This window comes from Homo sapiens, chromosome 3 (genome assembly GCF_000001405.40).
Source record: "Homo sapiens chromosome 3, GRCh38.p14 Primary Assembly".
Classification (NCBI taxonomy): Eukaryota; Metazoa; Chordata; class Mammalia; order Primates; family Hominidae; genus Homo; species Homo sapiens.
The window spans coordinates 63,067,652-63,082,820 of NC_000003.12; the positions used below are offsets into that span (position 1 = coordinate 63,067,652).

At 36.9% G+C, this 15,169-nt stretch overlaps 1 annotated feature.

Moving 5' to 3' along the window:
- Window positions 469–669: a silencer, noted in NCBI's record as "peak4679 fragment used in MPRA reporter construct". NCBI's record gives its function as "represses an SCP1 promoter by STARR-seq MPRAs in K562 erythroleukemia cells {active_cell/tissue: K562}" and the evidence as "EXISTENCE:reporter gene assay evidence [ECO:0000049][PMID:32103011]".

A 15,169-nucleotide genomic window follows, 5' to 3' on the forward strand; every position in this document is an offset into this window, starting at 1 on the left:
AAAGTGTAGTCCATGGGCCAGCAACATCAGCATTTCTGGAGAGCTTGTAAGACATGCAGAGTTTCAAGGTCCCGCCCCAGACCTACTGACTCAGAATTTGCATTTAAACAGTATCTTTAGGTGAATCTGATACCCACTAAGCTTTGAAAAGCAATGTTCTAGACAAATATTTATTGAAAACCTTCCATGTGTCATATACTTTTCGAGATTTTTGAGGAGGCCAAGAATCTTTCTGAAATCATAGGGGAGGGTGTACAAGAATCAGGTAAAAAAAAATTCCAGTTGTTAATAAATGTTATGGAGAAAATAAAACAGGCTAAGGCTTCTGGGAAGGTTTGTTTAGAATTATCAGGAAGGGCTAAGAGATATCATTTGATCTGAGATCTGAATTTCATTCCCTAAATATAAGGGAAGAGGATGCAAAGCCTAAGAGGCAAGAATGAGCCTGAAGTGTCTAGAGAACTGAAAGGAGGTCTGGGTAGTGAATGAGAGCAGAAGTAATAGAAATTGAAGTCATTCAATTCAACACTTAACCAAACAGACATTATGCACTAGGAGCTGTCCTCGGTGCTGAATATATTGCAGTCAACAAAACGAAGATCCTGTCCTCATGATGGCTACATCCTAGTAGCTGAACCAGGTAAGTAACAAATGTGAAAATATTCTACAGCAACTAAAGTAGGATATGAAGATAGAGAGTGATGGGAGGAGTCTTATCTTTGGGAAGGAGTTGGCAAATTATGGTCCACAGGCCATTTACAGTTGGTCTCCTGTTTCTGTAAATACAATTTTATTAGAACACAGCCAATCGGAAATCATGTATTTACACATTGTCTATAACTGCTTTCATACAACAATGGCAGAGCTGAGTAGTTGTGGCAGAGATAGTATGGCCCTCAAAGCCTAACATATTGACTATCTGGCTCTTCACAGAAAAAGTTTGCAGACCTCTGTCTTAAGGGATAAAGAGCATCCACTGGGGATGGGGAAGTGAAAGGGGATGGCTCTTTGAGAAAACAATAGCTGAGTAGAAAGGTAGTCAGGACTCAGATCAAATAGGACCTTTTAAGTTATGGTGAGGAGTTTGGGTTTTAAGTGTCACAGAATATCATTGGGTAGTTTTAAACAGGGAGTAAAATGATCTAATTGACTTTTAAGGGCTCACTAAGCAGTTCTAAACACTTGAGTTGCTGCCAATTTTCAGCCAACAAAGGCACCTGGAGATGAGTGCCTAGGTGTTTCCCCTTTGATCTTGGCTCTGTCTAGATGACATGGATTTTTGGCCAGAGTAAGAACCAAAAGACACTCAATGCAGAGGCGACAGTCCCCTTTCCCACCCTTGTGTTTTCTAATAGCATTATGATAAATAGGTCTTTATATAATTCCTTATGAGTGACTGATTTGGAACAATTCTTTGAAAGGGATGTGGTAATTGAGCCCCAACTCATGTCTACAGAGAATCAAAGCTGCCTTGTTTTTAGCTTAATGCTATGAATACTTTTGCATGTCTTGGCTGCATTTATTCATTCATCTATTCAGCAAATATTTATTGAGTGCCTATTATGGACAAGGCCCTGTACTTGGCAATGTAGATGAAAGGGCTATCTTAAAAAGGTCTTATTAAGTGTTGCCAGAAAGATTGAAGAAGTAGCTTTAGGAGAAGTTGCCAGGTGACTACAACATTTTGAAGGATGAAAGAAATGTAGATTTTCTAAAAGGATTATGGGTTTTATATTTAAAAAAAAATAGAGGTTGAAAGGGAATGTAATTGAAACCTTTCCAATCCTAAAGGGCATGGGTTCCTTTAACAAATGTAGGAATATTATAATAAGGGTCACACAATAGGATAAGATGCTAAGAGTTCACATGGCTGACATGCAGCACTTAGCATTTTTCAGATACTGGAAAATGAATTGACTGATTACATCTTCACAATAATTCCATTAATAAGTAATTATTATAAGAATGATTAAACAGAAACATAAAAAATTTAAGTGCCTTTTCTAAGATCACACAGCTTATAATGGTAACTTCAGGACTGGAAACCAGATGTGTTTGACCCCTGAGCTGATATAAAACATTCCTCATTCAGCTTTCATATCCCAGCCAAGACTTCCAGATTTAAAAAAAAAAAAAAAAAAAAAAGATTTGGAGCCTGGGGAGGGGAGGAACTGGAAGTATTACACTTAATTTTTAAAGCTGATTTTTAAGAAGACAACTGTCTTCCTCTACAGCTCTCCTCTTGGTACCTTTAACAGGGAATGAATTTTGGCATGATGTGCAAATCTTTATACTGTGTGGCAAAGGGAAGTTAGCTGCGTATGAGTCACTACATTCTCTGGCTCAGAATTAAAAATCCAAGCAGTAAAATTCCTCCTACTGACCCAGCTAAAGGTAACTGGTGGGTACATGCCAACTCTAGGTATATGATTTACAAAAAATAATGTACAAAACATTAATAAATGTGATGAAAAAAGTTTGAGAAGCTAATGAATAACAAAGCTAGCTAAAATGTGTTGACTGGTTAATATGATGTCAGTGTTGTTCTAAATGCACTATGTGCATTATGTGCAACAACTCTAAGAATTATTTATTACTGTCGTGCCTGTTTTCAAGATGAAAGAACTGAGGACTAGAGGCACTGATCATGTAACTCAGAATCAGGTGACAGAATCAGGGCTTACCCCCACCTCTGCTGAGTGCAAACAAAGCTAATGCACTTAAGCACTCTCTATTGGGCCAGTGTTATAATTCTCTATGCTGCTGACTGCCTATTTAATCCATAGACGTATGCCAACCTGAGTTTTCAACCTTTACTCCAACTGACCTGCCAAATCCTTGGCAAGGGGGTCAAGAAAACCCAGATAAAGTGGGTTAATCTCTCTGATGTGCAACTCCTGATCATTAGCTCCTGATATGCCTTCAGTGGTGAATTGGAACAAAGCTGACCTTTTTGTCAGTGAATTGGAAAATGAGTCAGCCTGAATTACACTCCAGAGGAGGCAATGCCCATTGCAACTCCAGATAGAGCAAGACATACATAGGGAAAAGGAGATTGATTAATTTTAGCCGTACCATTTTTGTTAATGATGAGTTATGTTAGTGACCACAGAGAAAGAAGAGGTAGCATCTTTTATAGCTAAGCAATAAATAAACCTTTGTAAAATCCATCTTTATGGCCTCCTTTTATAATGGTTTTATGTGATTGATGTGATGATAAATTTGTACGAATTGGCTGATCCATTCTTTTATCCATCCAACCAATATTTATTAAGCTCTATGAACTGTGTTCTTGTTTAATATTCTACTTCCTCCAGGTCAGTGGTTTTTCAAGTATGGTCCTCAGACCAGTAGCATCGACATTACCTGAGAACTTGTTAAAAATGCAGAAACTCAGACTCACCCAAGACTATCAGAATCTACAGTGGGGTTTTGCAATCTGTGTTTTAACAAGCCCTGCAATTGATTATGATGCATATTAAATCACTGATCTAGGCAACTCTTATGCCAGAAAGAATCCCCTAACCATCCTCTTCTCTCCAATTCTAATTGAATCTCTTGAAGGCAAGACCTTTTTCTCCAGGTCATTGCTGGGTCTCCAGTGCCTAGCAAAAGACTGGGCTCAATCTATGCTCTCAAAACTATTTATGCTGAATGAATTAATAAAGAAAGACACGGAGTTACAGATATGTTGAGTACTCTCTGTTTGGTCCATCCGGTTTCATGATTTGTAGAGAGGAGACAAAAGAGCAGAGAGCCGGAAGGACTTGGTTAAGATATAAACAAAATCATCAGACACATCAGGGTCCCCAGTACTAGTCTAATGCCAATGAACAGAGGATGTAGACAACTTTATTTCTTACCCCTCCTTGCTTTTGGAGTTTGACACTGTGACCTAAGCCTTTTTAGAGAAATTCAGCAAGATTTTCAAAATAAGCATTTTGATCATGATTTATGGTTAAATAAAGGGCTCTGACATTGAAGCTTCTAGCCATCTGTTTGTCATACATTTCTACTGAGGACAAAGTAAGTGGTGATGTGTTTTATGTACTGTAAGAGAAAACTTCTTAGAGAAGAAAAAAAAAATATCTTCCAACAATGAAAAAAGTAACAGGCTGTTTATGAGGCTCACCTATTCATTCATTCATTATTTTATTTACACATTAACAATATTTAGTGAGCATCCACTACGTTCCAGGCATTGTGCCAGGTGATGGAGATACATTGGTGAAAAAGACAACCACAAAAAATGATTAGTTGGAATTAGACAAAATCCTATAAAGGAATATTAAATGGTCCTGTGAAGTTTTGTAATATGGGGAAGTAAGCTATTCTGGAAGGGTTAGAGAGGCTACCCTGAGGAATATTTAGTCTGGGACCTGAAGGATGAGTTGGAATCAGTGAACTAATCAATGTCCTTTTATTTGAAACATTATAAGTGTTCTCATCAGGATGGCTTATCTGGGTTAGAAGGAAGGTATAGGCAGAAAGGAATTTGAGGCAAAGGCAAAGTTTGCCATCTGAGCTTTTAGATTTTTCTGGTTACAGCAGTCAGAGGGAGTGAGAACTAAAGGCAGGATGCGGGCCAAGGTTAGTGCATCTTTTGTTTGTTTATAAAGGCAACCTTGGCATAATGACCATGGTCAAATAATCAATAGCCACATTTTTAAGGGACAGAGTGTGCTGTGAAAGATAAAGATGATTTGCTTTGACTTTCTATGTCAGCCGGCGCCTTGGTTATCGAAGGTGCCTGGGGACAAAGATATGAGCATACAGACCTGTTCTGCAAATCCACAAAGTCTAGATTCTGCAGAGATCTTGCTTTATTTATTTACTTCAGAGCAAGAGTGTTAAGAGAGGCAGAGGAAATAATAAAGGGGAGGGAAGAAAGCCTAATTTTCTCATACTTCTGTCGAAAGACAGACTTGAAAAAAGATTATAATAATTATGCTCAGGAAAGCATGTGGTGTTGACAGAGAATAGGACTGGAAGTGGAATGGTAATTATGTCAGATTCAACTGAAGCATTGTGCAGGTTCTAGAATCCTGGTGCCAGTAACTCAGCTCATTATTGTACACACTCTGTTTTTCCTGGGGTCAAATGGAACCCAATATAATTCTAGGCAATTAATACCTGTTACAATAGAGTTTGACCATAATATGGTCATGTCCTGTGCACCAGTACTACAATTATTCAAGAAGGTTATGTGACTATTTGTTTGCACTTACAATTAGTGATAACTTCATAATTAGGGATAATCTTCTAACCACTGCAGTGTAGACAGCTGAGTGTTATGGTCAGGAGACAGGCTGAAGTTAATTCACAAGAAAATGTTTAGCTTCTTGAAGGCAAGGATGATAGCTTTTTATTTTCTGTGCCTTTTGCACCCAGAACACTGGTTGGCACTTTGGAGGCAGAGAATTTGGAGGCAGAGAATTTGGAAGAGGAAAGCATGGTGGGCAGGGTGAAGAAGGAGGAAGAAAAGGAAGGAAGGAAGAAAGGGAGGAAAGAAAGCTGATCTGAGCTCTAGACCAGTGGTTCTCAATTCTAGCTACATATTAGAATCACCTAGGGAGTTTTCTGTTTTAGGTTTTAGAGTGTAACACACACAAACAGAAGTACCCACATTGTCAGTGTGCAGCTTGATTGACACATCACAAGAAACAGAACACCACTGGCATCTCAGAAGCTCCTCATGTGTCCCTTTCCAGTCACTACCCCAAGTAAAGGATAACTACTCTCTGGAATTCCAACACTACATATGAGTTTTGGCTGTTTTTGAAATTTATGTCACTGCCGTAATACAGAATATATTCTTCGATGTCTGGCTTCTTTCACTCGACATTTTGTTTGAGATTTTTTCGTTTTGTTGTATGTATATTAGCATGTTTATTCTCATTGTTTATAGTGTTCCTATGTGTGAGTATAAAACATATCCATTCTACTCTTGATAGGCAGGGAATTGGTTCCTTTTTCATTTTTGACTGTTTCGAATAGTACTATGGTGAATATTTTTGGGCATGTCTTTTGGTGTGCATAGGGACATTTGTATTGGGGATGTATTTCTGTTGGGAGTGGAATTTCTAGGTCACAGGGCATGTATGTGTTCGGCTTTAACATATATTGGCAGTTACTTTTCCAAAGTGGTTATAACCACAGTACATGTGTACTTCTGGTGTGTAAGAGTTTCACTTGTTCCATATCTTGTTCATACTTGGTTTTGCATGTCTGTCATTGCCATCATTTTGGTAGGTGTGTTACTAGTATTACTTGGTAGTTTTAAGGTGCATTTGCTTGATGATTAATGAAGTTGAGTACCTTTTCCTGTGCCTATTGATCATTTGTTTAACCACTGTTTTAAAATCATTACTCTAGTCTTTTGTCCAATATTCCTTTGAGATTTTTGTCTTTTTCTTCTTGATTTGTAGGAGTTCTTAATACATTGTGAATATAAGTCTTTGTTGGATATATGTATTGTAAATCTCCTCTCTCACTCTAAGACTTGTTTTTTCACTTAATGCTATATTATGACGAAAAGACCTTCTTAAGTTTAATATAATCTTCTTCATCAGATTTTTCCTTTCTGGTAGAGCTTTTAGTGTATATTCATGAAATTTTTACCTATTCTAAGGTCATAGATATATGATCTTACCTTTTTTTCCCCAAAGCTTTATTATTCTACCTTCTTTATTTAGATATGCAATACATTTGGGACTAGCATTTGTTTATAGTATCAAGTTGGAGTCAAGATACAGTTATATTTTCCACGGGGATGTCCAGTTGACCTAGCTTCATTTATCTTTCCCAACTGTACTGTAGTATTTTTTCATCAAAAATCAGGTGACTAATTATGTGTGGGTTTGTTTCTGGAGTCTGTATTCTGTTCCATCTTTCATTTCGTATATCCTTGCACCAGTACCTACCACACTGGCTTAACTATTATAGATTGATAATAGGTTTTGTTATATAAGTAAGTGTAAGTCCTACAGATTTGTTCTTCTTCAAGACTGTCTTGGTTATGCTTAGATCTTTGCATTTCATTTTGATTTTATCATCATCTTGTCAGTTTATGCCAAAAACAACATACTGAGATTTTTAATTGGGATTACATTGAATATATAGATCAGTTTGGGAGAACTGACAACTTGGAATTTTGTCTTCTTTGTATTCATATACATGGCATATTTACTTAGGTTTTCTTGTATAATGTTTTATAGTTTTTAGTGGTAAACAGTCTTGTGTAGCTTTTGTTAGATTTATTCTTTGGTATTTGATACATTTGATGCTACTAAATGGTACCTGGGTTGCTTTTTAAAAATGCCAATGCTTATGCCATGTGGTCTAGAGATTCTTATATAATTAGCTTTAGTATTGTAATACACAGCCAAGTTTTGAGCACTTCTATTGTAGATGTATCTTTTTGCCTGCTTAGGCAAATCAGTTGACCCTTGGAGCTATCATTTTATTATTTAAAAACATGCAATAAGATTATCTGCCTCACCAGTTCAAGAATATTCTGCTTTTAATTTGATGCTGAATGTAAAACTCAGAAGCATTATAATTTGACCTAGATGCTTTATTTTTAATGGTAGATGGCAAAATTAACTTTATTTATAAAATATGGTAAAACTGAACTAATTTGATTTGATCACATTAGCCTGAGGCCTCAAAACTCTGAAGAGTAAAAATAGCAGTCATCAAGACTATGTGACTTTTTCCCTTACTCATAAGCAGCCCCTCCTATGTTTCATAGGCCCTGTTTATGCTTATGTTCTAAACAATTCTAGCTAGCTTGGTTATCAGAATTTCCAGACTTCAACATAATAGAAAGGGAAAGAAGAATAGTATAAAAGCAAGACCACCAGAGATAAACCCATAAACTTCAGAAAAGCACCTGTGACAGAAACAGCAAAGACAAAAGAGCTTAAAAAATAGAAGGCTGGGGCCATTTAGTGTAAGCGTAGGAGCAAAATGCATCAGGGACATAAAATTGGAGAGGATTATTTTATTACACACAGTTTCATATGTAGTTATCAGTATTTAAGCTTCATATTAGCACCAAAAACAAAATGCTGTGTGCTTTTTTCAAAGATGGCAGAAAAATGAGTAACATATTTCAAAGAATTTTCAAAAAGAATAACTAAGGTAGAATTTTGGCTTTTCTGCTCTCTGAAAAATACACTAAAATGGTATTGCTCATCTCCTGGAAATATTAGACAAATGGTATTTTCATTTACCACCTCTCATTGGGTAAAGAGGTAAGCCCTTTCAAACCTGTCTCATTCTATTACACTTTATGAGAAAATGCTATTAAATACCACCTGCACAGCTCTATTGTGTGTGTGTGTGTGTGTGTGTGTGTGTGTAGGAGGTGGAGGGAGGACATCTGAAGTCATCTCTTGAAGAGTGAGTGTCCCAGATTTAACCCTTTTCTTTATAGCCTTATTTGTCATTTAGATGGTTTCGACTTAATGGTTATGATCTTGCCTGACTCATTCATTTGATTTCCCTACGTTGTCTTCAGAAGCAAATTTGGAAGCAGAATATTTCCATGGGAAACTGAATTATTTTTCCCTGGAGCTGCATTTCACCAATTTCTGCCCCAATACCTCTATACCAAATTCTAAAATAGAATGATCAATATTGCTCTTTTTCTGTAAAATTAGACTCCATGAAGCCATTATTTATCGCATAAGAAGCCGGAGCACATATTTGCTCACATTGAGATAAACTAACCCCGGATAAAAGTCCCCCACAATATCTGGGAAAATCCCAGGGATCTGGCTGACAGATGTTGCTTTGTGCCTACAAATAACAAACACATCTGCAAGAGCCAGACCTTTGAGCATTTCTCTGCTTGAAATCAGCAAACACTAATTCAGTCAACAAATATTTATTCAGCTATCTACTCTGTGTCTGAGGCTGGAGATAGACATCTGGTCAACCGAATCATGGCTCTGACCTATAGGCCTATGAGACTGGGTTGCCAATTACCACACTGTAAAAGTTTCCCAGTGTTAGCATTACAAAGAAATCTACTCAACATTGGAGTTGCTCTATTTGCTGATTGAAAGAAGCCTAGTGCCTTAGAAGAATTGAGATATGGTTCCTCAAAAGGTTTTCTTAGCTGTAATTTGGGATGGCAAGTGGCATATTACTGAAAGCCATCTGGTTTTGTGGCTATGATCACAGACTCTGGAGCATGACTCCTGGGTTCTGGTCTCAGCACTAGCACTACCACTTACTAGCTGTGTGATTGCCTGTCCGTTTATAAACTTCTTTGGTTCTCGGTTTTCTTATCTATCAAATGGGAGTAACATTAATACCTTCCTCATAGTTTGTTGCTAAAATGAGTAAACGAGTTAATATATGTAAAGCATTTATGCAAGTGCCTGGTTCTTAACAAGCTATCACACGCAGTGGCATACGGGTGGGAGAGGCTGTGGATGTGATATGGCCCAGGGGTGGAGAGAAGTATTTGATTGATAACACTGTTTAGAATTTCTGATGCTCGATGATAACAAATAGGCTGATTTTAGTCCAGTTCATTATTGTTTTTAAATTGCTCACAGGCAACACACCCTCTTAGTGCCAGCACCTGGGCAGTCTGCACCTGTTTCCCCCAGCCCCCCAACACTAGGTCCATCAGGACCATTTCTCCATTTAAAGAAGTTGTTTTCTCCACATTTATCATCAAAATCTTTGGCCTTTAAATTATAGGCTGGTGACTATGCATAAAAAATTACTTCAATAACTAACACTCACTAAACATTTTCTATGTGCCAGGCATGGTGTCAGTTTCTTTAAATGCTATATTTCATTTAATCCTCACATAAATTTTATGAGGCAGATAACTCATAATCCCCATTTTACAGATGAGGAAACTGAGGCTATAAAGCAGGATTTTTCCAACCTTGGCAATATTGACATTTTAGACTGGATGATTATTTGCTGTGGAGGCTGTCTTGTGGATTGTAGGATGTTTAGCAGCATCTCTGGCCTCTACCCACAAGATGCTAGATTGTGTCAGACTGTCAGCTGTGAAAACAAAAAATGTCTCCAGATATTACCAAATGTTTCCTGACAGTAGGGGAAAGGGGGGTAGTAAACCTCATTCCTCACTCTGTTAGAGAACCACTGTTATAAAGGATAAGTAGCTTCTCCATCTTCTCTCAGCTAGAAAACAAGAGAATTAGGTTTTAATTCAGGCAGTTTTGACCATATGTACTATTACATTCTCATCCAGTGCAGTGCGGTCTCAAATTGTTGTCCTGAGACCAGAAGCATCAGCATCTCCTGGTATTGGAACTGTGAATTCTTGAGTCTTGCCTCAAACATATTGAATTAGAAATTCTGAGGGCAGGATCCAGCTCCGAGCAATTCTGAAATATGCTAAAGTTTGAGAACCACTGGTGTCCTTCAATGTTTCTCAACGTTGGCTTTACATTAGAATCACCTGGGGTAGCTTTAAAAAACACTGATCTTCAGAACTTATTTCAGACCAGCTGATCAGAATCCCTGGTGTTGGACCAAGATAATCAATGTCTTTAGGGTTTGTTTTTTTTTTTAATTTTTAAGCTCCCCCTGGTAATTGTAATGTGTAGCCATAGTTGACAGTCATTGGTCTTGTGGGAAAAGTACTGTCTGTTCAGGACCAGGGCTTCCAGTCTCCATCCAAATCAACCTTGGACAATATTCTTACTCTTTCTGGGCTGCAGTTTCCTCGTCTTTAATATAAAAGTGCTGGATTAGATGCTGCTTTCATTTTCTGGCTTACATTCCCAGGTGCTAAACTCCTTGTATTTTAAATGATTAATCATCTCCATCTGACAGTGACCCTGGATAAATTGCTTATTCTTTTTGTGCTTTGATATTTTCATCTATAACTGAAGAAATACTGGTGTTGGTTAAAAAAAAAACTATATAACTAAGACAGACAGAATTCTGACCAAGAAAGCACAAAAGAGATGAGCCTTCTCATTCTGTGGTTTGGTACTTTGCAACTGACTGAATTACAGAGCAAGTGGTCTGGTTCTTTTAGCTCTGCCTGCATGGGCTTGATGTGGGCACCATGACAGTTGGTACTGTGCCACCCAAGAGATTCAGAGGAGATTTTACAAAAACAAACACAAAACCTCTTCTGTAGGCAGTCTGGGTAGACTATGCTGTTCTGGGTGGGGCAATAGCTATTATCCTGGATAAATATTCCTATAGGAATTTTAGATAGGAGCAGATGACAGAGATCCACACCCCAATCCCTAAAATACTGAGGTGTTGTCCTAGGCAACCTGGTTAAGATTTCTTCCTTTTACATTTGTGCGATGCCCTCTATTTTTCCTTCTCAAGATGTTCATGTAGTGAGAAATCGGGCTGTATGGATGCAATGCCAAAAGAAAGAAATGAATGGAAGCCGTTTTCATTGTCTTCTTGAGAAAGAGATGAAATAAAAAGGGAGAAAATGGAGTAAGGGAAGGCCCATGTAGGTTCACATTGGCTTTTTCATTTCTTCCTTTAAATAAAAACATAACCAGAGCTAATGTTCTCATATACTGCTAAAGGAAATTCATTTCCAACAACGGAATAGCAGTAGAAACTCTCCAGAGGCAGTGCCCAAACTTATGTGCATGAGAATCTCCTAAAAAGCATGACAAAATAAAAGTCTCGGCTTTCCCCAGAAATTCCATTTTAACAAGTGTCTAAAGGTTTCTGAGGCTTCGGTCTGAGGAACACTTCTCTAAAACCACTTTTCTATGAAAAGGTTATCATTGCAAATATTATATTGCATTGGTAATTTAAGTTACCTATAATTTCCGTCTATGTGACCCTGGATGAATAGCTTCCCTTCTTTGTGACTTGGTTTTCTCATCTGTAAACTAGAGAGAAATACTGGTATTGGCAAAGAGCATATGGCTTGGTAAGAGAATTGAAACTGTTTTAGTCCTTCTCCTTTATTAGCTCCTTAGCTACCTGGTGGCAAGAACTAGATCGTACGCTGGTAAATAGCTGGCACTTTAGACATGTTTGCCAAATGAATGAATGGACAAATTCTTGTATGAATGAATGAATACAAATGATGGGATGGCAGAAGCCTTAGAGCACTTTTTCCCCCCTTTGCTAAAGCTTGTCATCAAGACTTCCAAATTGTGTTAAAGTTACTAGCCCATATACTTTACCACCTCACCTTCCTAGAGAATCCAGATAATGAACACTATCCTTTGCTTTCTTTGAAAAACCTGTTTTTATTTTCCAGATCACAGTGGTGAACAATTCTTAGTAATAGTGACCTGATCATATATTAATAGACATGAAATTATTAGACTGCTGAGCTATGTGAAATTCTTCTCAGTTCACACTGGTCCCCAGGCAACCAATTACACATTTTTTTCTTGCTTTAAAATAGGTGATTTAAAAAGCAAGTATGGTTGAGAAGCTTCTCTTTCATTGGTATATCTCACTCTTTTAACTCTACCCTCTGATGCAAGGATCACATTTGCCTTTTTTTATAACAGTATATTTAAAAGTATGTGTATGGAATACTACTTGGCAATAAGAAAGGAACTGACTGCTAATGCGCACAGCTTGGATGGATCTCAAGGAAATAATGCTGAGTTTTAAAAGTCAGTCTGAAAAAGTTACGTATTGTATGATTTCATGTGTTTAGCATTCTTAAAATGGCAAAAGTATAGAGATGGAGAATATATTAGTGGTTGCCAGGTGTTAGGAAGATGGGAAGGGAGGGGGGTGGCTATGGCTGTGCAAGAGGTAGCGTGAAGGATCTTTACAGTAAAACTCTTCTGTATCTTGACTGTGGCAGTAGTTATATGAAATCAACACAGATGATAAAATTGCATAGAAGAAAATATACATCCACATACATAAATGAGTATGTGTAAAACTGGTGAAATCAGAATCAGATGTATTAATTATATCAATATCAATTTCCTGGTTGTGTTATTGTACTACATAGAAACATAAGATGTTACCATTGGAGGAAAATTGGGGAAGGAATCTCTGGATTACTTTTTACAACTGCATATGAATTATTTTGAATTATCTCCAAATAAAAGTATATATGTGTTATATACATGTCTATTTATGTATATCTGTATGTATACACACAATACATGCATATTAAGTAAACCCCATTTACGCAGTTGTCTTAAGAAAGTAGTGTCATTATACCTCTAATGGGTCTGCATCCTTCTCCCTGATGCCAGTTTCCCTTCCTCACCTCCAAGAGAAAACACTATTCTGAATTTTGTGGTTTTCATTCTCTTGTTTAAAAATAATTTTAACACTTGTATGTACAGGAAAGATTTTACCAGTATAGCTTGAAATAATAAAAAGCTAGACATAATATAAATGTCCACCAAAACGAAAATAACTAGTAAGTTGTAGTCAATTCATACAAAGGAAAACTAGGCACGAGTGATATAAACTACAATTATATGAATCAACAAGATTGAATCTCAAAAATATAATTTTGGGTAAGAAAACTAGTAGCAGAAATATATCTGTATGATTCCATTTATATAAAATATAAAACCTGTGTGCAGCCAAAAATATTGTTTAGGATAAGCCATATTGCAATTTTACTTTAGAAACTGAATTATCAAAACTCTGCAGCTTTGGAGGAATGTGGGAGAATTGGATCAATTATCTTTAGGATGATCATGGAAGTGTCATATATATGGCTTTTAGAATGTTTCTCCTAGTGACCCTGGTTTTATTTTTAGAATTGGCTTCACTTCACTAGAGAATGATTTGAAATGGAAATGGTGTAATTTCTTCCATTTCTGAGAAGTCATTTGAAAGATAGTGCTGGTTGCCACTTGAAATTTTCTTTACTTGTTCCAGAGTGATAAAAAAATCACCCAAAGTTCATCTCACTGGATGGCTTGAAGAGTATCTTTTTATTTTGGAGAGGAACTGAGAACCTAGGTAACACATCATGTGGACTATGCAAATGCTAAATATCAGTCACTATTATGTGAGCAAGATCTAGCTAGTACAGATGCTGATATGCATTGGTACAATTTTTAAAAATCATCGGTTTGTCTTTTTCAATATCTGCCTTTTTATTTCCTCTGAGGATATGTATTTCTGGGGCTATGACTACCTTCAGGGTTAATGATATAACAGAAACACTAGTAGGAGACTCATTAATATTCTAAAGACTTTACATATATTGACTTACTTAATCCTCACAACAACCCTGTGGGGAGCGTGAGGCTCATGCTCAAGATCAACACAGCCGGCTATAGGCAGAGCTAGGATTTAACCCCAGGCAGTCTGTGCTCACAACAGTTATAGTCAACTATCTATACAAAGCTAAAGACATATTTGTGTGTTTAATGTGTAGACATTTTAAAAGAGATAATGGAAAAGGTCACTGTAAATGGTGAACAATCTGAAACATATATTTAACACACACGACTTTATAATTCTTCAGTTCATTAAGCTCACTCTCTTTTAAAATTGTTTTTAATTTTTGTGGGTACATAGTAGGTGTATATATTTATGGGGTACATGAGATGTTTAGATACAGGCATGCAATATGTGATAATCACATCATGGAAGATGGGGTATCTATCCCAAGTATTTATCCTTTGTGTTATGAACAATCCAATTTTACTTTTCTTTATTTTAAAATGTACAAATAGTTATTGACTGTAGTCACCCTGTTGTGCAATTAAATAGTAGGCCTGACTCATTCTTCCTATTTTTTTGTACCCATTAACTATCCCCACTCCCTCCCATCCCCCTACTACCCTCTCCAGCCTCTAGTAATCATCTTTCTACTCTTTATCTCCATGAGTTCGATTGTTTTGATTTTTAAATCCCACAAATAAGTGAGAACATACAATGTTTGTCTTTCTGTGCCTGGCTTATTTCACTTAGCATAATGACCTCCAGTTCTATCTATGTTGTTGCAAATGACTGAATCTCATTTTTCATGGCTGAATAATGCTCTACTGTGCATAAGTACCAAATTTTCTTTATCCATTCATCTGTTGATGAACACTTAGGTTGCTTCCAATTTTTGGCTATTGTGAACAGAGCTGCAATAAATATGGCAGTACAGGTATCTCTTTGATATACTGAGTTTCTTTCTTTTGGGTGTATACCCAGCATTGGAACTGCTGGATCATACAGTAGCTCTATTTCT